At 51.3% G+C, this 25,993-nt stretch overlaps 1 protein-coding gene and 2 pseudogenes across 3 annotated transcripts in view, besides 7 other annotated features; 2 read left to right on the top strand and 1 right to left on the bottom strand.

Annotated features, from left to right (window-relative positions):
• The window catches only part of DYNC2I2 (dynein 2 intermediate chain 2), a 50,808-nt gene that overhangs the window by 19,567 nt on the left and 5,248 nt on the right, over positions 1-25,993 (top strand). For 2 of the 3 annotated variants that reach the window (XM_011519179.3, XM_047424057.1), the window contains exons 2-3: positions 8,036-8,353; positions 23,955-24,203. In XM_011519179.3, the coding sequence (XP_011517481.1) occupies positions 8,168-8,353; positions 23,955-24,203 (435 nt within the window). In that variant the 5' untranslated portion in view covers positions 8,036-8,167. Of the gene's footprint in view, positions 1-8,035; positions 8,354-23,954; positions 24,204-25,993 lie in introns of those variants that run through there. The other variant, NM_052844.4, reaches the window with a different exon arrangement.
• On the top strand, positions 1,316-1,760 carry HMGA1P4 (high mobility group AT-hook 1 pseudogene 4; annotated as a pseudogene).
• Positions 7,347-7,990: an enhancer, noted in NCBI's record as "NANOG-H3K27ac-H3K4me1 hESC enhancer chr9:131419183-131419826 (GRCh37/hg19 assembly coordinates)". NCBI's record gives its function as "activates a minimal SCP1, AML or CMV promoter by ChIP-STARR-seq in naive H9 embryonic stem cells {active_cell/tissue: H9 hESC(naive)}" and the evidence as "EXISTENCE:reporter gene assay evidence [ECO:0000049][PMID:30033119]".
• Positions 7,347-8,017: a biological region, named in NCBI's record as "NANOG-H3K27ac-H3K4me1 hESC enhancer GRCh37_chr9:131419183-131419826".
• Positions 7,808-8,017: an enhancer, noted in NCBI's record as "active region_29087". NCBI's record gives its function as "activates an Ori minimal core promoter by ATAC-STARR-seq in GM12878 lymphoblastoid cells {active_cell/tissue: GM12878}" and the evidence as "EXISTENCE:reporter gene assay evidence [ECO:0000049][PMID:35858748]".
• Positions 7,991-8,635: an enhancer, noted in NCBI's record as "NANOG-H3K27ac-H3K4me1 hESC enhancer chr9:131418538-131419182 (GRCh37/hg19 assembly coordinates)". NCBI's record gives its function as "activates a minimal SCP1, AML or CMV promoter by ChIP-STARR-seq in naive H9 embryonic stem cells {active_cell/tissue: H9 hESC(naive)}" and the evidence as "EXISTENCE:reporter gene assay evidence [ECO:0000049][PMID:30033119]".
• Positions 8,198-8,527: a silencer, noted in NCBI's record as "silent region_20346". NCBI's record gives its function as "represses an Ori minimal core promoter by ATAC-STARR-seq in GM12878 lymphoblastoid cells {active_cell/tissue: GM12878}" and the evidence as "EXISTENCE:reporter gene assay evidence [ECO:0000049][PMID:35858748]".
• On the bottom strand, positions 12,744-13,896 carry VTI1BP4 (vesicle transport through interaction with t-SNAREs 1B pseudogene 4; annotated as a pseudogene).
• Positions 16,377-16,486: an enhancer, noted in NCBI's record as "active region_29086". NCBI's record gives its function as "activates an Ori minimal core promoter by ATAC-STARR-seq in GM12878 lymphoblastoid cells {active_cell/tissue: GM12878}" and the evidence as "EXISTENCE:reporter gene assay evidence [ECO:0000049][PMID:35858748]".
• Positions 23,432-24,036: an enhancer, noted in NCBI's record as "H3K27ac-H3K4me1 hESC enhancer chr9:131403137-131403741 (GRCh37/hg19 assembly coordinates)". NCBI's record gives its function as "activates a minimal SCP1, AML or CMV promoter by ChIP-STARR-seq in naive H9 embryonic stem cells {active_cell/tissue: H9 hESC(naive)}" and the evidence as "EXISTENCE:reporter gene assay evidence [ECO:0000049][PMID:30033119]".

The following is a 25,993-nucleotide window of genomic DNA, read 5'->3' as shown; positions in this document are numbered from 1 at the left end:
CCTTAGGCCTTCCAAAGTGCTGGGATTACAGGTGTGAGCTACTTCACCTGGCCAACGTTTTTTTCAACAGAATTGGTGCTGCATGTATAATGTTGAAAAACGAAATACTGGTGGGGCACGGTGGCTCACGCCTGTAATCCCAGCACTTTGGGAGGCTGAGGCGGGTGGATCACCTGAGGTCAGGAGTTCGTGACCAGCCTGGCCAACATGGTGAAACCCTGTCTCTACTAATAATACAAAAATTAGTTGGGCGTGGTGGCAGGCACCTGTAAAGCGAGCTACTTGGGAGGCTGAGACTGGAGAATTGCTTGAACCCACAAGGCAGAGGTTGAAGTGAGCCAGGATCGCGACACTTCACCCCAGTGTGGGTGACAGAGCAAGACTCTGTCTAAAAAAAAAAAAGAAAAATGAAATACTGGTATTGACATATTTAGAACAATTGCCTACACAGAACCATATTCATTCATTTAAACAATACTTATAGAGTGTCTAATATATGTGAGGCAGCAGTGATTGTAATCAGTGCTTTGAACAAAATACACAAAATAAGGTAATATTTCCCTAATGAGTTGGCTTTTGAACAGAGACATCAAGGACGTGGGGAGGAGGCATTGTGACCATCGGGGAAGGATATGCTAAACAGGCTGGGCGTGGTGGCTCACGCCTGTAATCCCAGCACTTTGGAAGGCTGATCACCTGAGGTTAGAGGTTCAAGACAAACCTAGCTAACATGGTGAAACCCTGTTTTTACTAAAAATACAAAAAAAAATTAGCCAGGTGTGGTGGCGGCCACCTGTAATCCCAGCTATTCGGGAGGCTGAGGCAGGAGAATCGCTTGTACCGGGGAGGTGAAGTTTGCGGTGAGCCAAGACCACGCCATTGCACTCCAGCCTGGGCAAGAAGAGCAAAACTCCGTCTCAAAAAAAAAAAAAAAAAAAAAAGCCTGGGTGCAGTAGCTCACACTTGTAATTCCAGGTTTTTGAAAGGCCGAGGCAGACGAATCGCTTGAGCCCAGGAGGTCAAGACAGCCTTGGCCACAGGGTGAAACCCACTCTCTACAAAAAATACAAAAAATTAACTGGGCATGATGGCGTGTACCTGTAGTCCCAGCTACTAGGGAGGCTGAGCTGGGAGATCACTTGAGCACTGGATGTTGAGGCTGCAGTGTGCCATGATGGTGCCACTGCATTCCAGCTTGGGTGACAAGAGTGATACCCTGTCTCAAAAAAAAAAAAAAAAAAAAAGAAAAAAACTATAATAGATATGAACAAAACCTAATTGGGCTACAGAAAATGGAACAAATACATCTACTTGCAGATTAAAAGGAGCCCAAGCCCCATCTCATCCTAGCACACCCTCCTCCACTGTCCTGGCAGTAGCAGGTATGGCCATCTGCGGGGGTGCTTATTCTCAAAAATGTCCCCAGCCCAGCCTGTGTCTTTGTCACTCCATGGAGCTCACACTCACTTTTCTTCCTTCCTCTCCTTCCCTAGTCCCTGCACTAGGTCAGACAATCCCCTTTGGGGTACAGGAAACAAAGCAGGAGGAGTTTGAGGTCCCTACACTGCAGCAGAAGAAGAGGAAGGAGTGGGGCCTGAATTGACCATAAAGGATGTAGGGGCCACGTTGTTCCACTGTAATGTCAAGGAGGGGGTGGCCATTGTTTGTCCCAGCCTGGGGCTCCCCCTCTGGTTTCCTATTTGTAGTTACTAGAATGAAAAAAAAACATGATAGATAAATAAATAATCCACTGGCAGAGATCAGAGAGGTTCAATCTGGATCATTAAGAATGAATTGGGGCCGGGCGCCGTGGCTCACGCCTGTAATCCTAGCACTTTGGGAGGCTGAGGCAGGCGGATCACCTGAGGTCAGGAGTTTGAGACCAGCCTGGCCAAACCCCATCTCTACCAAATATACAAAAATTAGCCAGGTGTGGTGGCCCACGCCTGTAGTCCCAGCTACTCAGGAGACTGAGACATGAGAAATGCTTGAACCTGTGAGGCAGAAACTCCGTCTCAAAAGAAAAAAAAGGCTGGGTGCAGTGGCTCACTCCTGTAGTCCCAGCACTTTGGGAGGCCAAGGCAGGTGGATCACCCGAGGTCAGGAGCTCGAGACCAGCCTGGCTAACATGGTGAAACCTACAAAAATTAGCCCAGCATGGTGGCAGTTGTCTGTAATCCCAGCTACTCTGTAGGCTGAAGCAGGAGGATCACTTGAACCTAGGAGGTGAAGGTTGCAGTGAGCCAAGATCGTGCCACTACACTCCAGCCTGGGGGATAGAGTGAGACTCTGCCTGCAAAAAAATAAATAAATAAATTAGCCATGAATGGTGGCGGGTGCCTGTAATCCCAGCTACTCGGGAGGCTGAGGCAGGGAGAATTGCTTGAACCCAGGAAGTAGGTTGCAGTGAGCCGAGATCGCGCCATTGCACTCCAGCCTGGGCAACAAGAGCAAAACTCCATCTCAAATAAAACAAAACAAAACACCCAAGACTGTAACACTTGTGTTTTGGAATTATGAATATCCTGCTGCTTTATGTCCAGTATCCATCTGTAGGGCACACCAGCCTCTCAACACAAAGAGCATGGGCAGATGGCGCTTTCATTATGGCCACCATTGATTGAGCCCCCTTCAGGTTTCAGGCTCTTTTTTTTTTTCCCCAAGACGGAGTCTCGCGCTGTTGCCCAGGCTGGAGTGCAATGGCGCAATCTCGGCTCACTGCAACCTCCGCCTCCCAGGTTCAAGTGATTCTCCTGCCTCAGCCTCCAAAGTAGCTGGGACTACAGGCACATGCAACCATGCCCAGCTAATTTTTTGTATGTTTAGTAGAGATGGGGTTTCTTTTTTTTTTTTGAGATGGAGTCTCGCTCTGTCGCCAGGCTGGATTGCAGGGGTGCAATCTCGGCTCACAGCAACCTCCACCTCCCAGGTCCAAGTGATTCTTCTGCCTCTGCCTCCCTAGTAGCTGGGATTACAGGCGCCTGCCACCACGCCCAGCTAATTTTTGTATTTTTAGTAGAGACGGGGTTTCACCATGTTGGCTAGGCTGGTCTCCAACTCCTGACCTCAGGTGATCCGCCTACCTCGGCCTCCCAAAATGCTGGGATTACAGGCATGAGCCACCAAGCCCGGCCGGCTTTTTTTCAGACATTCATCCCCTGAGGATCAAGTAAGTGTGATTGTTATTAGGACCTGATGCATGGGAGCCTCCAAAGTAGCTGGGAATACAGGTGCCTGACACCACGCCCGGCTAATTTTTTGGTTTGTCTTTTTCTGAGACAGAGTTTCACTCTTATTGCCCAGGCTGGAGTGCAACGGCTCAATCTCGGCTCACTCCAACCTCCACTTCCTGGGTTCAAGCGATTCTCCTGCCTCAGACTCACGAGTAGCTGAGATAACAGGCACCCGCTATGTCACCCGTATAATTTTTGTATTTTTGTAGAGACAAGGTTTCACCATGTTGGCCAGGCTGGTCTTGAACTCCTGACCTCAGGTGATCTGCCCACCTCGGCCTCCCAAATTGCTGGATTACAGGCGTGAGCCACCATGCCAGGCTGGTTTTTCTTTTTGTTTTTTTTTTTTTTTTTTTGAGATGGAGTCTCACTCTGTTACCCAGACTGGAGTGCAGTGGGGTAGCAATTCTCCTGCCTCGGTCTCCGGAGTAGCTGGGATTACAGGCATGCACCACCACATCTGGCTAATTTTTGTATTTTTAGTAGAGACAGGGTTTCACCATGTTCATCAGGCTGGTCTGGAACTCCTGACCTCAGGTGATCCACCTGCCTTGGCCTCCCAAATTGCTGGGATTACAGGCGTGAAACATTGCGGCCGGCTCAACACAACAACCTCATTATTAAAACAGCTTTGACCTGGCGCAGTGGCTTTTGCCTGTAATTCCAGCACTTTGGGAGGCTGAGGTGCGCAGATCCTGAGGTCAGGAGTTCGAGACCAGCCTGGCCAATATGGTGAAACCCCGTCTCTACTAAAAATACAAAAATTAGCCGGGTGTGGTGGTGCATGCCTGTAGTCCCAGCTACTTGGGAGGCTGAGGCAAGAGAATCACTTGAACTCAAGAGGTGAAGGTTGCAATGAGCCGAGATTGTGCCACTACACTTGAGCCTGGATGACAGAGCGTGACACCATCTCAAAAACATAAATAAATAAATAAAAAATAAAAATAAAATTAGACAGCTTTGTCAGGCCAGGCATGGTGGCCCATGCCTATAATCCCAGTACTTTGGGAGGCTGAGGTGGGCGGATCATGAGGTCAGGAACTCGAGACCATCCTGGCTAACATGGTGAAAGCCTGTCTCTACTGAACATACAAAAAATTAGTTGAGCGTGGTGGCATGCGCTACTCTGAAGGCTGAGGCAGGAGAATCGCTTGAACCCGGGAGGCAGCAGTTGCAGTGAGCCAAGATCACACCACTGCAGTCCACTCTGGGCAACAGAACAAGACTGTTTAAAAAAAAAAAGAAATAATAGGCAGGGCACAGTGGCTCATGCCTGTAATCCCAGCACTTTGGGAGGCCGAGGTGGGCAGATCACAAGGTCAGGAGATCGGGACCATTCTGGCTAACACGGTGAAACCTTGTCTCCACTAAAAATACAAAAAAACTTAGCTGGGGGTGGTGGCGGGCGCCTGTAGTCCCAGCTACTTGGGAGGCCGAGGCAGGAGAACGGCGTGAACCCGGGAGGCGGAGGTTGCAGTGAGCCGAGATCGTGCCACTGCACTCCAGCCTGGGCGACAGAGCGAGACTCCGTCTCAAAAATAAAATAAAATAAAAATAATAATAATAATGAGTTTTGAGGGTTTTTTTTTTTTTTTTGACAGGGTCTCACTCTGGCACCCATGCTGGAAGACAGTGGCGCAATCATGGCTCACTGCACTTGACCTCACAGGCCCAAGCGATCCTCCCAACTAAGCCTCCAGAGTAACTGGGCCATAGATGCATGCCACTACACCTGGCTAACTTTTTTTTTTTGAGACAGAGTCTTGCTCTTGTTGCCCAGGCTGGAGTGCAATGGCGCCATCTTGCCTCACTGCCACTTCCACCTCCCAGGTTCAAGTGATTCTCCTGCCTCAGCCTCCGGAGTAGCTGGAATTATAGGCATGTGCCACCACGCCTCGCTAATTTTGTATTTTTAGTAAGGACAGGGTTTCACCATGTTGGTCAGGCTGGTCTCGAACTCCTGACCTCAGGTGATCCACCCGCCTCGGCCTCCAAAAGTGCTGGGATTACAGGTGTGAGCTACTGCGCCCAGCCCTAATTTTTTAAATAGGTTTTGTCTTAGAGACGAGGTGTCCCTATGTTTCCCAGGCTGATCTCGAACTCTTAGGCATGAGCCACCACACCAGACCTTAGTGAGTTTGTGTGTGTGTTTTTTTTTTTTTTTTTGAGACGGAGTCTCCCTCTGTCGCCCAGGCTGGAGTGCAGTGGTGCGATCTCTGCTCACCGCAAGCTCCACCTCCCAGGTTCATGCCATTCTCCTGGCTCAGCCTCCCGAGTAGTTGGGACTACAGGCGCCCGCCACCACGCCCGGCTAATTTTTGTATTTTTTAGTAGAGATGGGGTTTCATCATGTTAGCCAGGATGGTCTCGATCTCCTGACCTCGTGATCCGCCCGCCTCGGCCTCCCAGTTGTGAGCCACCGCGCCCGGCCCCTTAATGAGTTTTTAAAAAGTCCCTTTTTCTTCAGTCTACATTTGAGGAAGGGCCTTTCTAGGTGGTGGTAAACTGAGGCCTGAGGGGTGTGCTTGAAGCAGGTGGAGGCAGAGGCCATGGGGTGGAGAGAGGGTGGGTACAGGGACGGAATCTTGGGCCCTGAAGGGATTGAATTGTGTTTTCAAATACCATCTGCTTTGGCCTGGGGAGTGGCTTAGCCTGTATTCCCAGCACTTTGGGAGGTAGAAGTGAGCAGTTCACTTGAACCCAGGAGTTCGAGACCAGCCTGGGCAACACGGGGAGACCCCTGCCCCCATCTCTACAAAAACACAAAAATTAGCTGGGGATGGTAGTGCATGCCTGTAGTCCCAGCTGCTTAGGAGGCTGAGGTGGTTGGATGGCCTGAGCCCGGAGAGGTTGAGGCTGCAGTGAGCCATGATCATACCACTACTCCAGCCTGGTGACACAGCCAGACCCTGTCTCAAAAAAAAAAAAAAAAAAAAAAATTAGGTCAGGTGAGGTGGCTCACCTGAGGTCAGGAGTTTCAAAGCAGCATGGCCAACACGGTGAAACCCCATCTCTACTAAAAATACAAAAAATTGGCCAGGCGTGGTGGCGGTTGCCTGTAATCCCAGCTACTCGAGAGGCTGAGGCAGGAGAATCACTTGAGCCTGGGAGGTGGAGGTTGTTGTGAGCCAAGATAGTGCCACTGCACGCCAGCCTGGACGACAAAGCGAGACTCTGTCTCAAAAAAAAACAAACAGGCTGGGCGCAGTGGCCCACGCCTGTAATCCCAGCACTTTGGCAGGCTGAGGCGGGCAGATCATTTGAGATCAGGAGTTCCAGACCAGCTTGGCCAACATGGTGAAACCCTTCTCTACTAAAAATACAAAAATTAGCCCAGTGTGGTGGCATGTGCCTGTAATCCCAGCTGCTTGGGAGGCTGAGGCATGAGAATCGCTTGAACTGGGGAGGTGGAGGTTGCTGTGAGCCGAGATCACGCCACTGCACTCCACCTTGGGCGACAGAGTGAGACTCTGTCTTAAAAAAAAAAAAAAAAAGTAGCATCTATCCTTCCCAGATCATTTTTTAGAATTTTTTTATTATTTTGTTGTTATTATTATTATTATTTTGAGACAGGGTCTCACTCTCTTGTCCAGGCTAAAGCACAGCGTGGTTCAATCAGGGCTCTCTGCAGCCTCAATTTCCCTGACTCCAGGGATCCTCTCACCTTGGCCTCCGGAGCAGCTGGGACTACAGGTGTGTGCCACTATGCCTGGCCAATTAAAAAATTTTTTTTTGTAGAGAGGGAGTCTTGCTGTGTTGCCCAGGCAGGTCTCAAACTCCTGGGCTCAAGTGATCCTCTTGCCTTGGCCTTCCAAAGTGCTGGCCATCTCGTCTGGCCTATTATTATTTTTTTAGAGATAGGGTCTTGCTCTATCACTCAGGCTGTAGTGTAGTGGTGTAATCATAGCTCACTGCAGCCTCAAACTACTGGACTCAAGGGATCTTTACACTCAGCCTGCCGAGTAGGTGGGACTACAGGCACGTGCCACCATGCCCAGCTAAGTTTTAAAACATTTTTTTTGTAGAGACGGGCTCTCACTATGTTGCTCAGGCTGGTTTCGAACTCCTGGCTTCAAGCGATCCTCCTGCCTTGGCCTCTCAAAGTACCGGGATTACAGGTGTGAGCCACCGCACCTGGCCTATTTGTTTATTCTTTATTTTTATTTTTTAGTCCTCAGGTCAGAATCTCCAGTTTTTTTAATTCCGGTGGGGCGCGCGGAATGGCAGAACGACATAATATAGTATAAAAAGCAATTCTTTCCTCAGGGTGAGAACTTAATAAGAAAGAGACGTTCTGGGCTCTTTGCCTGACACACAGTAGGCACATTATTTAGTTATTTGCTTTTAATTTCGATTTAATAAGCATGTTTCTGTAGAAGACCTCATTTGGGCCTCCCAGCTTTTTAACCACATTTAGGATCTCCGTAGGAATATTTTTCATCATCATTCTATTGAGACAGAGACTGAGGATTAAAGGGAGATCACTTGGCTTCGAGGTGACAGCCTGTTCGAGTGGCGCGGTTCTCGGATCTGCTGGAAGAATCAGCTGCTCAGCCAGATCTGCGCTCCCAGGCCCAGACCTCGCGGGCCGGCCACGGCCGCAGGCTGCCGCCCTCTCTTCGCTTCTGCGCTTGGCTGCTCAGCGCCATCTTTGAACCTGGCACCAATGCCTCACTTCCGCAGTTTCCTCGCCCAGGAGTAGCGCGCCTACTCTTAGAGTGCTTTTTCTGGGGACAGGGTATGCAAAACCGGTCATGCTTCTCTCTCTGGCCGAGAAGAATCGTTACTTTTCTTTCTTCCAGGTCTTGCAGGAGGCGCTGCGACCAATTCAAACATGGCGCCGTCAGCCTCACATTCCCCGTTTTCCGCTCATGGCGGCGTAGGGGCGGAGGTCGCGCCTGAGTGCGTCCGCACGAGAGGGCGGAACCGTCTCCATGGCAACCCGCGCGCAGCCGGGGCCACTCAGCCAGGCGGGAAGCGCTGGTGTTGCGGCGCTGGCGACAGTCGGGGTTGCGAGCGGCCCGGGGCCGGGGCGGCCAGGGCCGCTGCAGGACGAGACCCTGGGTGTGGCGTCCGTGCCCTCGCAGTGGAGGGCCGTCCAGGGCATCCGCTGGGAGACGGTGAGGGCGCGGGCCCCGCGCGGAGCGACGCGGGCGGGAAGGCGGGGTCGCAGCGCGGCTGCCGGGCGGGTTCGGGCGTCCCACCGTGGCTGCCGGGCGGGTTCGGGCGTCCCACCGTGGCTGCCGGGCGGGTTCGGGCGTCCCACCGTTTGCCTTTACAGTTTATTCCACAGAAACTGACCCAGAGGATACTTTCGGCCCATTTTTTAACAACAAAAAGTGGAAAAACAAAACACCTCCAAGGATCCCACGTTTTGAAGGATTTTGTGTGAACTGTAGTTTTTAAGCATTTCAAACAACTTTTTTTGGTTTTGTTTTGTGTTTTTTTTTTTGAACAGGGTCTCGCTCTGTCGCCCAGGCTGGAGTGCAGTGGTGCGATCTCGGCTCACTGCAGCCTCAGCCCCCGGTGCTGAGCGATCCTCCCACCTGCGCATCCAGAGTATCTGGGACCTCAGGCGCGGGCCACCACGCTGGCTGTTTATTTATTTATTATCTTGTAGAGATGGGGTCTCCATGTGTTGCCCTGGCTGGTCTCCAACTCCTGGGCTTAAGCTGTCCTCCTTCCTCGGCCTCCCAAAGTGCTGGGATTACAGGTGTGAGCCACCGCGTTCAGGCTTTTTTTTTTTTTTTTTGAGACAGTCTCGCTCTGTCGCCCAGGCTGGAGTGCAGTGGCGCGAACTCGGCTCACTGCAAACTCCGCCTCCCAGGTTCACGCCATTCTCCTGCCCCAGCCTCCCCAGTAGCTGGGACTACAGGCGGCCGCCAGCACGCCTGGCTAATTTTTTTGTATTTTTTAGTAGAGACGGGGTTTCACAGTGTTAGCCAGAATGGTTTCCATCTCCTGTCCTCGTGATCCGCCCTCCTCGGCCTTCCAAAGTGCTGGGATTACAGGCGTGAGCCACCGCGCCCGGCCTTCTTTTTTTTCTTTTTTTTGAGACAGAGTCTCACTCTGTCGCCCAGGCTGGAGTGTAGTAGTGCCAGCTACTTGGTTTCGGCGCTACTTGGTTTCTTTCTCTTTTTTTTTTTTTTGGAGACGGAGTCTCGCTCTGTCGCCCGGGCTGGAGTGCAATGGCGCGATCTCTGCTCACTGCAAGCTCCGCCTCCCGGGTTTATGCCATTCTCCTGCCTCAGCCTCCCTAGTAGCTGGGACTACAGGCGCCCGCCACCACGCCCGGCTAATTTTTTTTTTTTTTTTTTTTTTTTTTAGTAGAGACGGGGTTTCACCGTGTTAGCCAGGATGGTCTCGATCTCCTGACATTGTGATCCACCCGCCTCGGCCTCCCAAAGTGCTGGGATTACAGGTGTGAGCCACCGCGCCGGCCCAGGCTAACTTTTAAATGACCAAACTGCATTGTAAATTCTAGATAAGCCAGTTTTCCAGGTGTTTAATCAAACGCACACGAAAGGAGATGCTCTGATGAGATGAGATGCTGCGTGCTCAAGGCCTCTCCCAAGGGGTCTGTGCGGACTTTCAGCTTGAGCACCTGCTGTGTGCTAGGAGCGGTTCAAGGGTTGGGGACTCATCAGAGAAGAAGACGGACATCTCTCCCTCCTCGAGCTTACATGGGGCAGTGGCAACGGCTGTAACATTAACAGTATATTTAATAAGTAAATTATGCAGTGTGTTAGAAGGTGAATAGTGCCGTGGACAAAAGAGAAAGCTGAGAGATTGGAAGGACTGGGTTGGGGATTGAGAGGGTGGTTTGCCAGGTGGGCTACAGTGAGGGTGACATTTTAGCAAAGATTTGGAGGAGTGAGCGTGGGCTAAGTGGATACCTGGGGTAGAGTCATCTAAGGAGATGAAAAGTCAAGTGCAAAGTAGGGTGCCCTGGCATTGTGCCTGTATTTCCAGCTACTTGAGCAGCTGAGGCAGGAGGATCCCTTGAGCCCAGGAGTTGGAGGCTGCAGTGAGCTATGATTGCACCACTGTGTTCCAGTTTGGGTAACAGAATGAGACCCTAACTTTACAGGGGGAAAAAAAGGTCAGTGCAAAGGCCCTAGGGCAAATCTGTCTGTTTGAGGAGGCAGGTGGGGCTGGAGAGGAGTGAGGGGTGGGGAAGAGTGGTCCCAGGTGAGGTCAGAGAGGGTAAGGAAAGGAAAGGCAGGTCAGGTGGGGGCTGTCAGAGTATTGTAAGGACTTATGTTTTTCCTCTGAAAATGAGCAGCATTGGGTGCTGCACACGTCCCAGAAGAGAATACTGAGGCTTAGCTTGCTGCATGAACCTGCAGAGAGCCCAAATCCTCCCCAAGGCCAGTGAGGTTTCCATGAAATCTTACTCTTGAGGACAGATTTCTTACCTCAGGCCTAGAAGTCTGCCCAGCTGAAGCCAGGATCTGATGTGGCTTGCACGCACTTCCCGCTTTGCTGTGCTGTATGGGAACGGTTCTCAGGGAAAGCCAGGGCACTAGGTGGTTTAGTTAACTGTCCATCCTTATCGCAGGTCAATTGATGATTCAGATGCACTGGCTTTTAAGCAATACTCAAAATAGCTCTTGCTGAACATTTTGTTTTTGTTTTTTGTTTTCTTTTGAGATGGAGTCTGGCTTTGCCACCCAGGCTGGAGTGCAGTGGCGCAATCTCGGCTCGCTGCAAGCTCTGTCTCCTGGGTTCACGCCATTCTCCTGCCTCAGCCTCCCCAGTAGCTGGGACTACAGGCACCCGCCACCACGCCTGGTCAATTTTTTGTATTTTTAGTAGAGATGGGGTTTCACTGTGTTGGCCAGGATGGTCTCCATCTCCTGACCTCGTGATCCGCCTGCCTTGGCCTCCCAAATTGCTGGGATTACAGGCGTGAGCCACTGCGCCCGGCCTGGGTTTTTTTTTGGAGACAGAGTCTCGCTCTGTGGCCTAGGCTGGAGTGCAATGGCGTGATCTCAGCTCACTGCAACTTCCGCCTCCCGGCTTCAAGCGATTCTCCTGCCTCAGCTTCCCGAGTAGCTGGGACTACAGGTGCATGCCAGCACGCCTGGCTAATTTTTTTTTTTTTTTTAGTAGAGGTGGGGTTTCTCTGTGTTAGCCAGGATAGTCTTTATCTCCTGACCTCGTGATCCGCCTGCCTCGGCCACCCAAAGTGCTGGGATTACAGGTGTGAGCCACCGTGTCCGGCCCAGTTTTTTTTATTTTTAGTAGTGACGGGGTTTCGCCATATTGGCCAGGTTGGTTTTGAACTCCCGACCTTTCACCATGTTGGCCAGGCTGGTCTCAAACTCCTGGCCTCAAGTCATCTGCCTGCCTCGGCCTCCCAAGGTATAGATATTACAAGCCTGAGCCACCTCACCTGGGCTACTCTTGGTACTTTCTTTTTTGTGTGTGAGACGGAGTCTCGCTTTGTTGCCCAGGCTGAAGTGCAGTGGTGTGATCTCAGCTCACTGCAACCTCCGCCTCCTGGTTTCAGGTGATCCTCCTGCCTCAGCTTCCTGAGTAGCTGGGATAACAGGTGCACGCCACCACATTGGGCTAATTTTTGTGTTTTTAGTAGAGACAGGGTTTCACCATGCTGGCCAGGCTGGTCTTGAACTCCTGACCTTAGGTGATCCACCCGCCTCAGCCTCCCAAACTGCTTGGGGATTACAGGTGTGAGCCACCGTGCCTGGCACTCTTGGTACTTACTTTTTTTTTTTTGAGACGGAGTTTCGCTTTTGTTGCCCAAGCTGGAGTGCAGTGGCATGATCTTGGCTCACTGCAACCTCCGCCTCCCGGGTTCAAGTGATTCTCCTGCCTCAGCTCCTGAGTAGCTGGAATTACAGGCATGTGCCACCATGCCTGGCTAATTTAGTATTTTTAGTAGTGAGGGAGTTTCTCCATGTTGGTCAGGCTGGTTTCGAACTCCCGACCTCAGGTGATCCACTTGCCTGGGCCTCCCAAAGTGCTGGGATTACAGGAGTGAGCCACTGTGCCCGGCCTCTTTTTTTTTTTTGAGACGGAATTTCATTCTTGTTGCCCAGGCTAGAGTGCAATGGCACAATCTTGGGTCACTGCAACCTACACCTCCCGGGTTCAAGCGATTTTCCTCCGTCAGCCTCCTGAGTACCTAGGAGTACAGGTGTGTACCACAGCACCTGGCCAACTCTTGGTACTTTCTTTCTTTCTTTTTTTTTTTTTTTTTTTGAGATGAAGTTTCGCTCTTGTTCCCCAGGCTGGAGTTTAATGGCATGATCTCAGCTCAGTGCAACCTCTGCCTCCTGGGTTCAAGCGATTCTCCTGCCTCAGCCTTCTGAGTAGCTGGGATTACAAGTGCCTGCCACCATGCCCAGCTAATTTTTGTATTTTTAGTAGAGACGAAGTTTCACCATGTTGGCCAGGCTGGTCTCAAACTCCTGACCTCAGGTGATCTGCCCACCTTGGCCTCCCAAAGTGCTGCGATTACAGGCGTGAGCCACCGCACCTGGCCCGATTCTTGGTGCTTTCTAATTGGTCTGTCTTGTTCCTCTGGTTCTTCTGTGATTTCTGAGCCAATCTGGTCAGTTTCTGTGCCAGTCTGATGAGAATGTTCAGTACTTCGGGTCACCTGGATCAGGCTTCCAGTGCCTTGTAGAAGCATTGCCCTTTGAGATTGTAGCCAGTCCATGTGCTCATTCTCTGCAGCACATGTGCTATATTTCTTTCTTTTTTTTTTTTTTTTTTCTGAGATGAAGTTTTACTCAGTCACCCAGGCTGGAGTGCAGTGGTGCTATCTCAGCTCACTGCAACCTCTGCCTCCTGGGTTCAAGCAATTCTCCTGCCTCAGCCTCCTGAGTAGCTGGGATTACAGGCGCCTGCCACCATACTCAGCTAATTGTTTATATTTTTAGTAGAAATGGGGTTTCACTGTGTTGGCCAGGCTGGTCTCAAAACTCCTGACCTTGGGTGATCTGCCCGCCTCGGCCTCCCAAAGTTCTGGGATTACAGGTGTGAGCCACCGTGCCTGGCTGTGTGCCATATTTCATGTCTCCTCGGCCTCCAGTTGTGGCTCTCCAAGGTGTGCTTCTCATCTCCTGATAGTTTGGCAAGGTCCTTCCAGTAGTGTTTTTTGAGACAGTCTCGATCTGTTGCTGAGGCTTGAGTGCAGTGGTACGATCTTGGCTCACTGCGACCTCTGCCTCCCGGGTTTAAGCGATTCTCCTGCGTCAGCCTCCCGAGAAGCTGGGATTACAGCCGTGCGCCACCACGGCCGGTTAATGTTTGTATTATTAGTAGAGATGGGGTTTCACCATGTTGGTCAGGCTGGTCTTGAACTCCTGACCTCAAGTGATCTGCCCACCTCGACCTCCTAAAGTGCTAGGATTACAGGTATGAGCTACTACCCCCGGCCCTTCTGGTAGTTTTGAAGCTTAGACATCATGGGGTTACGGAAAGATAGAGGTGCATAATGTAGTTCCTCCTCCATCTCTGCCAGCTTTTTGTTTCCTTCCTGTTGCTTTTCATCAAAATCTCTGATCAACTTCTCTTTGGTCCCCACTGCACCCAGCAGGTGCTTGGGCACTCCTTGTAGGCCTTCATAGAGACAGTGAAAGATCTCATGCCGCTTCCCGACATGCTCCGAGGAGGGGGCAGAGGTGGCCATGGTGCAGGCTGTGTTCAAGCAGCGGCGACAGATTCTGGGTGCCGGTTGTGCTCCTAGCCTGGCAGAACCGCACCCAGCCCCTTAGCCGTCATGGTGACTACTGCGCCACTGCTGCCTGGTGCTTTTTGAGTTAACTTTTTGTTCTTTATACAAGTAATCTATGGGCCGGCGTGGTGGCTCACGCCTGTAATTCCAGCACTTTGGGAGGCTGAGGTGGGTGGATCACCTGAGGTCAGGAGTTCAAGACCAGCCTGGCCAACATGGTGAAACCCCATCTCTAAAAATACAAAAATGGGGCTGGGTGTGGTGGTTCATGCCTGTAATTCCAGCACTTTGGGAGGCTGAGCCTTGCAGATCAACTGAGGTCGACTGGGAGTTGAAGACCAGCCTGACCGACATGGAGAAACCCTGTCTCTACTAAAAATACAAAATTAGCCGGGCGTGGTGGCATATATATATATATATATATATGGTCTTTGGCCTGACTTGACTTTTCTTGCCACGTCCCTATCTGTTTAGAGGGACAGTGTCCTGGACCTTAATTTTCGATCTGAGTTTGAGGGTGCAGATCCTTTTTATCAGTGGCTTGGCCCTGGACTAGTAACGCAGTCTCTCTTCTGTGAAGTGCGATTGTTAGGATACTTCTTATGGGGTTGAATGGGACTGTTGACCAGAAAGCCAAGTGAAAGCCAGTGCTGTTCACGTGGAGTTTCTGAGTGTCAGTGACTGGCCCTGCTGTCTCAGCTGAGGGGGGCCTCCTCATTCCTCTTCTCAAAGGTAGTCAACACTGGAATGCCCTGGAAAGTGTTGAAAAATGTGGACTCCTGGGTTCTACTTGCAGTTACTGTGGCTTACTTTGGATGTGGTATGACCTGGGGATCTGGTTTCATAATATCTCCCTAAATGATTCTAATGCTTAGCAAAGTTTGAGAACCACTAGAACCACTAGTTTAATCCAGCTGCTTTCCAGTAGTTTTTTAAAAAATTTTTCATTTATTTATTTATATTTTAGAGTCTCGCTCTGCCACCCAGGCTGGAGTGCAATGGCGCGATCTCAGCTCACTGCAACCTCTGTCTCCCGGGTTCAAGCGATTCTCCTGCCTCAGCCTCCTTAGTAGCTGAGACTACAGGCACGCACCACCATGCCCAGCTAATTTTTGTATTTTTAGTAGAGATGGGGTTTCACCATGTTGGTTAGGCTGGTCTTGAACTCCTGACCTCATGATCCGCCCACCTCAGCCTCCCAAAGTGCTGGGATTACAGGTGTGAGCCACTGCACCTGGCCCAGTTTTTTTTTTTTTTTTTTTTTGAGATGGAGTCTCACTGTCTTGCCCAGGCTGGAGTGCAGTGGTGCAGTCTTGGCTCACTGCAATCTCTGCCCCCTGAGTTCCAGCAGTTCTCCCACCTTAGCCTCCCCAGTAGCTGGAATTACAGGCGCGTCCCACTAGGCCTGGCTCTTTTTTGTATTTTTAGTAGAGGCAGGGTTTCACCATGTTGGCCAGGCTGGTCTCGAACTCCTGACCTCAAATGATCCTCCCACCTTGGCCTCCCAAAGTGCTGGTGGTCTGGTTCTGTCTCCCAGCCTGGAATGCAGTGATGTGATCGTAGCTCACGCAGCCTCAAACTCTTGAGCTTAAGCGATCCTCCCACTTCAGTCTCCCGAGTAGAAAGAACTACAGGTGCACACCATCGCGCCTGGCTAATTTGGAAAATTCTGTAGAGTCAGAGGTCTTGCTTTGTTGCCCAGCTGGTATTGAACAACTGGCCTCACGTGAGCCTCCCACTCAGCCTCCCAAAGTGCTGAAATGAAAGCTGTGAACCACCATCTCTGGCCCGTTTTAACCATTTTAAAAAGTGTGCAATTCAGAGGCATCAAGTATAATTCCAGTGCACAGTCATCACCGCGATCTATTGAACTTTTTCCCAGTGGGATGCATTTTTGACATTCAGGTCTGTCTCCCGTGATTTAGCTCCTTGAGGGCAGGGGTGAGTCTCCTGTAGTTTTCCATGTCCCAGAGGTGCCTAGGAAATGCTGAATTGAATGGTTTCTTGTGTGCTTTCACTCCCTGGCAGGCCTCTGCTGCATCCCTCCTCAGAATTGACCTAGCTGCCTAGCTCTGGGCCTCTAAGTGAGTGCCTCTTCTGGACTGGCTGTAGCTTCTGGCCCAGCAGATTCTCTCTCTCTTTTTTTTTTTTTTGAAACGGAGTCTCCCTCCGTCGCCCAGGCTGTAGTGCAGTGGCACGATCTTGGCTTACTGCAACCTATACCTCCCAGGTTCAAGCAATCCTCCCACCTCAGCCACCCTAGTAGCAGTGATTACAGTTGCCCGCCAACACGCTTGGCTAATTTTTTTTTTTTTTTTTTTGTATTTTTAGTAGAGATAGGGCTTCACCATGTTGGCCAGGCTGGTCTTGAACTCCTGGCCTCAAGTGATCTGCCTGCCTCGGCCTCCCAAAGGCCTAGGATTACAGGCCTGAGCCACCATGCCTGGCCCTGCCCGCTTGGCTTGGCTTGGCGGGGCCTGGCTTGGTCGGGCCCGGCCCAGGAGATTCTCTAGCATATGGCACCCCCTGCTGGAGTGGGCTTGTTTGAGATGGAGTCTGGCTCTGTTGCCCAGGCTGGAGTGCAATGGCGCGATCTCAGCTCACTGCAACCTCCACCTTACTGGTTTAAGTGATTCTCCTGTCTCAGCCTCCCAAATAGCTGGAGTTACAGGCGTGTGCCACCATACCTGACTAATTTTTGTATTTTTAGTAGAGATGGGATTTTGCCATGTTGGCCAGGGTGCTCGAACTCCTGGCCTCAAGTGATCCTCCTGCCTCGACCTCCCAAAGTGCTAAGGTTACAGGTGCGAGCCACTGTGCCCGGCCAGTGTTCAGTTTTCATTCAGTCAGAGAAGTCTGGGGCTTGGGGCCTAGCTTGTGGCTTGGGTAGGAGGTTTTCCAAGAAAGGGGTCCTGTGGGGCAGGTGGACTTTCCAGAAGGCATCTCCTCACCTTTCTGGGCCTCAGTTTCCTTCCTCTGAGAGGCAGGAGTGCTGATGTTCTGGGTTTCTCCATGGCTGCAGGCTCTCTTGGGGCAGGAGAATTGGGCTTCAGGCTGCAGAGCGTCCCTGGGGCCTCAGACTCTCAAGAGGGTGGACCCTGCTGGTCTTGCTTTGGTAATTACTGTTCTCTGATTCCCTCCAAGGATGTCCTGGTCTGATTACATAAAGTCTGGCCCAGCCCTTTGTATTCCCCTGAACGCTTTTTTTTTTTTTTTTTTTTGAGATGGAGTCTTGCTCTGTTGCCCAGGCTGCAGGGCAGTGGTGTGATCTCGGCTCACTGCAACCTCTGCTTTCTGGGTTCAAGCAATTCTGTCTCAGCCTCCTGAGTAGCTGGGATTACAGGTGCATGCCACCATGCCTGGCTAATTTTTTGTATTTTTAGTAGAGACGGGGTTTTACCATGTTGGCCAGGATGGTCTCGATCTCCTGACCTCGTGATCCACCCGCCTTGGCCTCCCAAAGTCCTGGGATTGCAGGCGTGAGCCATAGCGCCTGGCCCCTGAATACACTTTCTAGGTGTGGGAGGCTGGCTCTGGGCCTAGCGTCCTTGACACTCCCCTCTGAGAGTGGCCTAGGAAGTGAGGATCCTGACTCCCATGCCCCATTTCTTTCTCTGACTTCCCCCGGGGGCGGCTTATTGGAGCCTTACCCTCTTGCTAGTCACACACTGCCTGGCATGGTGGCGGGGTATGGACTTGGGCCTCATCCCCAAAGGGATCTCTGACTTAGGTATCCCGGAGCACAAAGAGTAATGGTGGCTTCTTACCAATTCACAGGAAATTTGCAGGTGCCATATTATTGTTTTTTGTTTGTGTGTTTGTTTTTTGAGACAGAGTTTCGCCCTTGTTGCCCAGGCTGGAGTGTGATGGCGCAATCTCAGCTCACCACAACCTCTGCCTCCTGGGTTCAAGTGATTCTTCTGCCTCTGCCTCCCAAGTAGCTGGGATTACAGGCACGCTCCACCACGCCTGGCTGATTTTTGTATTTTTAGTAGAGACGGGGTTTCACCATGTTGGTCAGGTTGGTCTCGAACTCCTGTCCTCGTGATCCACCTTCCTTGGCCTCCCAAATTGCTGGGATTACAGGCGTGAGCCACTGTGCCCAGCCAACCTGGCTAATTTTTAAATCTTTTGTAGAGACTGGGTTTCCCCATGTTGCCTAGGCTGGTCACAAAGTCTTGGACTCAAATGATCCACCTTCATTGGCCTCCCAAAGTGCTGGGATTACAGGCATGAGCCACTGTGCCTTCCTTAGCATAATTTGTAAGGGCCCTAGAATTATCTGGATATAAATGAGCTTTGGCTTTTACTTGAAGTCATCAGCTGCATTAGCCCCTAACAAGAGAGTCAGCCTGTCTCTCGAAGCTTTGAAGCCGGGCATTGACTTCTTTCTAGTTCACATTCCTAGATGGCATGTCCTTCTAATGTTTCATCTACTTTGAAAATCTGGGCCAGGTGGCTCATGCCTGTAATCCCAGCACTTTGGGAAGCCCAGGCAGGCTGATCACCTGGGTTCAGGAGTTTGAGACCAGCCTGGCTGACATGGTGAATCCCCGTCTCTATTAAAAATACAAACATTAGCCAGCCATGGTGGCAGGCACCTGTAATCCCAGCTACTCAAGAGGCTGAGGCAGGAGAATTGCTAGAACCCAGGAGGCACAGGTTGTCGAGATCACACCACTGCACTCCAGCCTGGGTGACAGAGTGAGACTGTGTCTCAAAACAACAAAAACAAAAAAACAACAACAAAAAGAAAATCTATTGTTTAGTGCGGCCACCTTCATCAATAATCTGAGCTAGATCTTCTGGAGAACTTGCTCCGGCTTCTCCAGCAGCACTTGCTGCTTCACCTTGTATTTGTACATTATGGAGATGGCTTCTTCCCTTAAACCTCATGAGCCAACCTCTGCTGGCTTCACACTTTTCTTCTGCAGCTTCCTCACCTCTCTCAGCCTTCATGGAGTTGAAGAGAGTTAGGGCCTTGCTCTGGGTTATGGTGTGTCTTAAGGAAATGTGGCTGGATTGATTTTCTATCCAAGCCACTAAACTTTATCCCTATCAGCAATAAGCTGTTTCACTTATAATTTGTGTGTTCCCTGGAGTAGCACTTTTAATTTCCTTCAAGAACTTTTCCTTTGCATTCACAACTTGGCTGTTTGTTGCAAGAGGCCTGGCTGCAGCCTGTCTCAGCTTTCAACATGCCCTCCTCACTAAGCTTAATCATGTCTAGCTTTTGAATTAAGAGACCTGCAACTCTTCCTTTCCCTTGAACATTTAGAGGCCCCTGTAGGGATATTAATTGGCTTACCTTTTTTTTTTTTTTTTTTTTTTTTTTTGAGATGGAGTCTCACTTTGTTGCCCAGGCCAGAGTGCAGTGGTACGATCTCGGCTCATTGCAACCTCTGCTTTTTGGGTTCAAGTGATTCTCCTGCCTCAGCCTCCCAAGTAGTTGGGACTACAGGCGCCCGCCACCATGCCTGGGTAATTTTTTTTTTTTTTTTGAGACAGAGTTTCACTCTTGTTGCCCAGGCTTGGTTCAAGTGATTCTCCTGCCTCAGCCTCCTGAGTAGCTGGGGTTACAGGTGCACACCACCATGCCCAGCTAATTTATGTATTTTTAGTAGAGATGGAGTTTTGCTGTGTTGGCCAGGCTGGTCTCGAACTCCTGACCTCAGGCGATCCGCCCGCCTTGGCCTCCCAAAGTGGTGGGATTACTGGCATGAGCCACTATGCCCGGCCAATTTTTGTATTTTTTTTTTTTTTTAGTAGAGATGGGGTTTCACCACATTGGTCAGGCTGGTCTTGAACTCCTGAGCTCAGGTGATCTGCCCGCCTCGGCCTCCCAAAGTGCTGGGATTACAGGCATGAGCCACTGCGCCTGGCCTAATTGGCTTACTTTCAATATTGTCTTGTCTCGGAATAGGGAGGCCCAAGGAGAGAGAGAGAGACAGGCAACAGCTGGTCAGTGGAGCCGTCAAATCACACGCAACATTTATCGATGAAGTTCACCATCTCATGTAGGCACAATTTGTGGTGCTGCAAAACAATTACTGTAGTAACGTAAAAGATCACTGATCACAAATCAGTGTAGCAGATATAATAAGAATGAATAAATTTGAAATAGTGTGAGAATTGCCAAAATGTGGCAGAGGCATCAACTAAGCGCATGCTGTAGGGAAAATGGCCCGATAGGCTTGTGCAGTGCAGGGGCGCCGTGATCCTTCAGTTTGTGAAAAGTGCTGAATCTGCAAAGCGTATGAAGCAGAGCGCAGTGACACGTGGTGCGGCCCAGCTTCGCACGTGTTCGGGAGGGCACCGTGGCTGAGATGCAGTTTACTGTCGTGAGGTCAGACAATCTAGTGGCAAGTCAGGTTGGACAGGTGCGGTGGCTCACGCCTGTAATCCCAGGACTTTGGGAGGCAGAGGAGGGAGGATCACTTGAGCCCAGGAGTTGGAGACAAGCCTAGATAATATAGTGAGACCCTGTCTCTACGAAAAAATTCTTTTAAAAAATCAGCCAGGTGTGGTTGTGTACCTGTAGTCCCAGCTACTTGGGGGGCTGAGGTGGGAGGATTGCCTGAGCCCAAGAGGCAGAGCTAGATTGCAATGAGCTATGACCACTCCATTGTACTCCAGCCTGGGCAACAGAGTGAGACCCTGTCTCAAAAAAAAAAAAAGGCCGCCTGGGTTCAAGTCGATCACCTTTTGCTGTGTGACCTTGGGTGAGTTACTCAGTTTCTCTGTGCCTCAGTGCCAACATTAATATGAAGATAGGATTTACTTCATAGGGTGGTTGTGAGGAAGAAAGGTGATGTGGGTGAAGTTCTTGGCACAGTGCCTGGAAGTGAGCTCTTACCAACTGGCACTGTCATCAGAATTGTGGCTTCCATGGAGTTTGAGATTCTGCCTTAGTCCCCTTGCATCTTGGCTCGGCACATGCACTTTCTGATCCCCTGGCCCATTCATTCATTCCTTGGTGTGTGTAGTCCCTCAGCAGCCTCCTCCAGCTCTGGGGCTTCAAGTCACATGTCTGGTCAGAAACTCTCCAGAGCTTTGTGACCTCCCCCGGGAATACTTGGTGCCTCCCCGTGGGTGGCTGAGGCATCTGAGTCCAAAGCAGGCCCCACAGAACTGCCCTGTGTTCTCTGCCTGAGTGTGACCTCACATCTGGGGACGCCCCGTCCACAGGTTCTCAGTGCAGATCCCAGGGTCACCCTGGATTTCCTTCTTTCCACGATTCCCAGAGTCCAACACGTCGTCTTGGGCTTTACTTGCTCTGTTGCCCAGGCTGGAGTGCAGTGGCACAATCAACTGCTCACTGCAGCCTCCACTTCCTGGACTCAAGCAATCTTCACACTTTAGCCTTCTGAGTAGCTGGGGACTACAGGATGCGCCGTCATGCCTGGCAATTTTTTTTTTTTTTTTTGAGATGGAGTCTCACTCTGTCACCCAGGCTGGAGTGCAGTGGCACGATCTCGGCTCACTGCAACCTCCGCCCCCCAAGTTCAAGCGATTCTCCTGCCTCAGCCTCCTGAGCAATTGGGATTACAGGCGCCTGCCACTGCACCTGGCTAATTTTTTTGTATTTTTAGTAGAGACGGGGTTTCACCATCTTGGCCAGGCTGGTCTTGAAGTCCTGACCTCATGATCAACCCGCCTCAGCCTCCCAGAGTGCTGGGATTACAGGCATGAGCCACTGCGCCTGGCTTCTGGCAAATTTTTAATTGTTTTGTAGGTACAGAGTTTCCCTCTGTTGCCCAGGCTGGTCTCAAACTCCTAGACTCAAGTGATCCTCTTGCTTCAGCCTCCCAAAGTGCTGGAATCACAGGCGTGAGCCACGGCGCTCAGGGGATTTTCCTCCACGACATTTTATTCTGGCCCACTACACTCCTTCCTGAAGCTTTCCACTTGGCCGGCTCCTTCATGTCCTTCACATCTCAGCTCAAACGCCATCTCCCTAAGAGGCCACCCTCGCCATCCCATCCAGACAGCCTCCCTTGCTGTTTCCTTCCTTTCTCGTGCCTCTGCATGTGCTCAGTGCTGTGTGGATTTGGTGTTTTTTTCTTGTTTATTCATCTCTCCCCACCCCTATGTAAGCGCCTGGGGCACAAGAATCTTGCACATTTTCTTTTCTGCTGTGTCCTCATTACCCAGACAATGCCTGGCAAGTAGATGCTCAATAAGTAATTTTTTTTTTTGAAATGGAGTCTCGCTCTGTCACCCGGGCTGGAGTGCAGTGGCACAATCTCGGCTCACTGTAAGCTCTGCCTCCCAGGTTCACGCCTTCCCGAGTAGCTGGGACTACAGGCACCCAGGACCATGCCCGGCTAATTTTTTTGTATTTTTAGTAGAGACGGGGTTTCACCGTATTAGCCAGGATGGTCTCGATCTCCTGACCTTGTGATCCGCCCGCCTCGGCCTCCCAAAGTGCTGGGATTACAGGCGTGAGCCACTGCGCCCGGCCTCAATAAGTAATTTTTTTTTTTTTTTTTTTTTTTTGAGAAAGTCTCCTACCATAGGCCAGGCTGGAGTGCAGTGGCATGATCTCGGCTCAGTGCAACCTCCGCCTCCCGGGTTCAAGCAGTTCTCCTGCCTCAGCCTTCTGAGTAGCTAGGATTACAGGCACGCGCCACCACACCCGGCTAATTTTTTTTTTTTTTTTTTTTGAGACGGAGTCTTGCTCTGTCGCTCAGGCTGGAGTGTAGTGGCACGATCTTGGCTCACTGCAAGCTCCGCCTCCTGGGTTCACGCCATTCTCCTGCCTCAGCCTCCCGAGTAGCTGGGACTACAGATGCTCGCCACTATGCCCAGCTAATTTTTTGTATTTTTAGTACAGATTGGGTTTCACCGTGTTAGCCAGGATGGTCTTGATCTCCTGATCTTGTGATCCGCCCGCCTCGGCCTCCCAAAATTCTGGGATTACAGGCGTGAGCCACCGTGCCCGGCATTTGTGTGTGTGTGTGTGTGTGTGTGTGTATGTATATAAATGAACATCTGCTTTGTGCCAAATACCATGCAAAGTGCTGGGGATACAAAGATCAGACAAGAGTCTTATGCTGGGGGGCTGGCGGTTCAGTAGGACACAGACAAGCAGAGAGAACTGAGTGGCCTGTGGAGGTGAGGGTGGGTACCAGTGCTGAGGCCTGTGTGTTCAGAAGAGAACTGTCCTGGTGAGTCCTGCCCTCTTCCTCCGGGCTTGCCTCCTGGCCCAGCTCGAATCCCGCATGAGATGGGAAGGAGGGAGTGTGGCAGTCCAGGGCCTTGTCATTGTCCCTTGAGCAGCCACCCGAGGAGAGCCCCTCACAGATAGCAGCAATCACCATGATTGCTTCCGCCCAGAGAGCCTTGGTTTGGTGAAGATTGGGCATGTCTGTAAGAAAGGGAGGCTGGCCTCTCCTGCCCTGTTCTGATGTTTGTACCTGTGCCAGGTACAGCTAAGCAGGGGACCAGGAATAGTAGGCGTGGTGGCAGGGTGGAGAGCAAGGCCTCTGGGGGCAGTGCTCTGCCTCCCACCTAGCAGCTCATAGTGGATGCTGAAGCTGCTGTTGCTTACCCGGGTGCTGGGAGGGCTGCCCGTTGAGGGAGGGCCTGGTGGTGTGAAGCTGGGGTGTTCATGGGCATCAGACCATGTGTCTGCCAGGGTGCTGCTGTGAGCCGATGTGGTTCTGCCTGCCCTCCGCATCTTCAGAAAGGGAGCCCTCTGACTCCTCCGAATTGTTGCACCAAAAGTCTTGGGGCAGGGTCTCACTGGCCTGTGTTGGTCACTTGGCCAGCCCTGAATTGGTCACTGTGGCTGAGGTAGGGACACGGTGCTCTGATTGGCTGGCACTGATTGGTTGTGGGACATAGGAGAATCAAGGGGCCATCTCCAACCAAGACCTCACTGAGAGAGGCCCCTAGCCTGAGACCCACAGCAGCAAGGAGGGGGTCAAGCAGGAGGGGCAGGCAGGGGGCTGGGTGGGGGCTGTGCGAGGACAGCTGGGTGGTGACACTTGTTTTCACCCTCCCCCCAGAAAAGTTGCCAGACGGCCAGCATTGCCACTGCCAGTGCATCCGCCCAGGCCAGGAATCATGTGGACGCCCAGGTGCAGACGGAGGCCCCCGTGCCTGTCAGCGTGCAGCCCCCGTCCCAGTATGACATACCCAGGCTCGCAGCCTTTCTTCGGAGAGTGGAGGCCATGGTCATCCGAGAGCTGAACAAGAATTGGCAGAGCCACGCGTTTGATGGCTTCGAGGTGAACTGGACCGAGCAGCAGCAGATGGTAGGGGATGGGCTGGTGCAGCCTCGGGTCGAGCCCCTGCCCCACTTCTGTCTCCTCTTGTTTTCCTTCCCACAAATAACAGCCGTGCCAGTCATCATCACGGCCAGCAATCACCAGGCTCTAATGTCCTGCCTGGTACTGCGCTAGGTTCCCTAAGAATAAGTCAGTGAGCCTTCACTGCTGACCTTGAGGTCGGTATTGTTCTGTCCACTTTACAGTTAGGGAGATGGACACCCTATATGGAAGTAACGTCCAGAGTGAAACTGAGCAGCTGAGCAGTGGAGGCAGGCTAGAGTCTGGGTGGCCCGGCTGCCCTGCCTCCCCATGTACGGTGCAGTGAGGGCCTTCTTTGGGCCAGGCACAGTTTAAGAATGTCTCCTTGGCCAGGTGTGGTGGCTCACGCCTGTAATCCCAGCACTTTGGGAGGCCGAGGCGGGCGGATCACAATGTCAGGAGATGGAGACCATCCTGGCTAACACGGTGAAACCCCGTCTCTACTAAAAATACAAAAAAAAATTAGCCGGGCGTAGTGGCAGGTGCCTATAGTCCTAGCTACTCTGGAGGCTGAGGCAGGAGAATGGCGTGAGCCCGGGAGGTGGAGCTTGCAGTGAGCTGAGGTCACGCCACTGCACTCCAGCCTGGGCAACAGAGCGAGACTCTGTCTCAAAAAAAAAAAAAGAATGTCTCCTGTGGTATCTTCTTCACTCCTCAAAACAACTGTATGAGGCTGGGCACAGTGGCTCACGCCTGTAATCCCAGCACTTTGGGAGGCCAAGGTGGGTGGATCACCTGAGGTTGGCAGTTCGAGACCAGCCTGGCCAACATAGTGAAACCTCCTCTCTACTAAAAATACAAAAATTAGCCAGGCGTGGTGGTGCACGCCTGTTGTTCCAGCTACTCGGGAGGCTGAGGCAGGAGAATCACTTTAACCCGGGAGACGGAGCTTGCAGTGAGCTGAGACTGTGCCACTGCACTCCTGCCTGGGTGACAGAGCAAGACTCCATCTCAAAAAAAGACAAAAAAACAACAAAAAAAAACTGTATGAGGTAGTGCTATTATAATCTTCAGTTTATAGATGAGGCTGAGAGAGGCTAAGTGACATATCCAGGTCCACACACACAGCTCCAGAACTTGAACCCCAGTCTCTCTGGTTTCACTGCCATGCTCTGGGTCATCTGCCCTCCAAGTACAGTCCAGAGTCATGACCCTGTAAATGCTGATGGGCAGTTGGGCAGACAGTATTGGGTTTGAGATGAGGGAGCTTTTGTCTTTTTCTTTTTTTTTTATTTTTTTGAGACAGAGTCTCGCTCTGTCACCCAGGATGGAGTGCAGTGGCATGATCTTGGCTCACTGCAACCTCTGCCTCCCGGGTCCAAGCAATTCTCCTGTCTCAGCCTCCTGAGCAGCTGGGATTACAGGCACCCGCCACCACGCCCGGCTAATTTTGTATTTTTGGTAGAGATGGATTTCACCATGTTGGTCAGGTTGGTCTCGAATTCCTGACCTCAGGTGATCTGCCTGCCTTGGCCTCCCAAAGTGCTGTGATTACAGGCGTGAGCCACCTCGCCTGGCCAAAAAAATTTTTTTAGAGTTAGGGTCTTCCTATGTTGCCCAGGCTGTAGTTCAGATGGGCTCAAGAGATGCTCCTGCCTCAGCCTCCTGAGATGATTTTTTACAAAGTATAAACATTCCTTGAACCAAAATCCAGATCAAGAAAGTGAACATTACAAGGCCTGTAAAAGCTTCCTTCCACCTCCTAGCCCATTGTATAGCTTTGTTTGAAAATAATA

The sequence above is a fragment of the Homo sapiens genome, chromosome 9, assembly GCF_000001405.40.
Source record: "Homo sapiens chromosome 9, GRCh38.p14 Primary Assembly".
Classification (NCBI taxonomy): Eukaryota; Metazoa; Chordata; class Mammalia; order Primates; family Hominidae; genus Homo; species Homo sapiens.
Note: the sequence above shows the minus strand (reverse complement) of the source record. Positions and strands in the feature narration are given on the sequence as shown.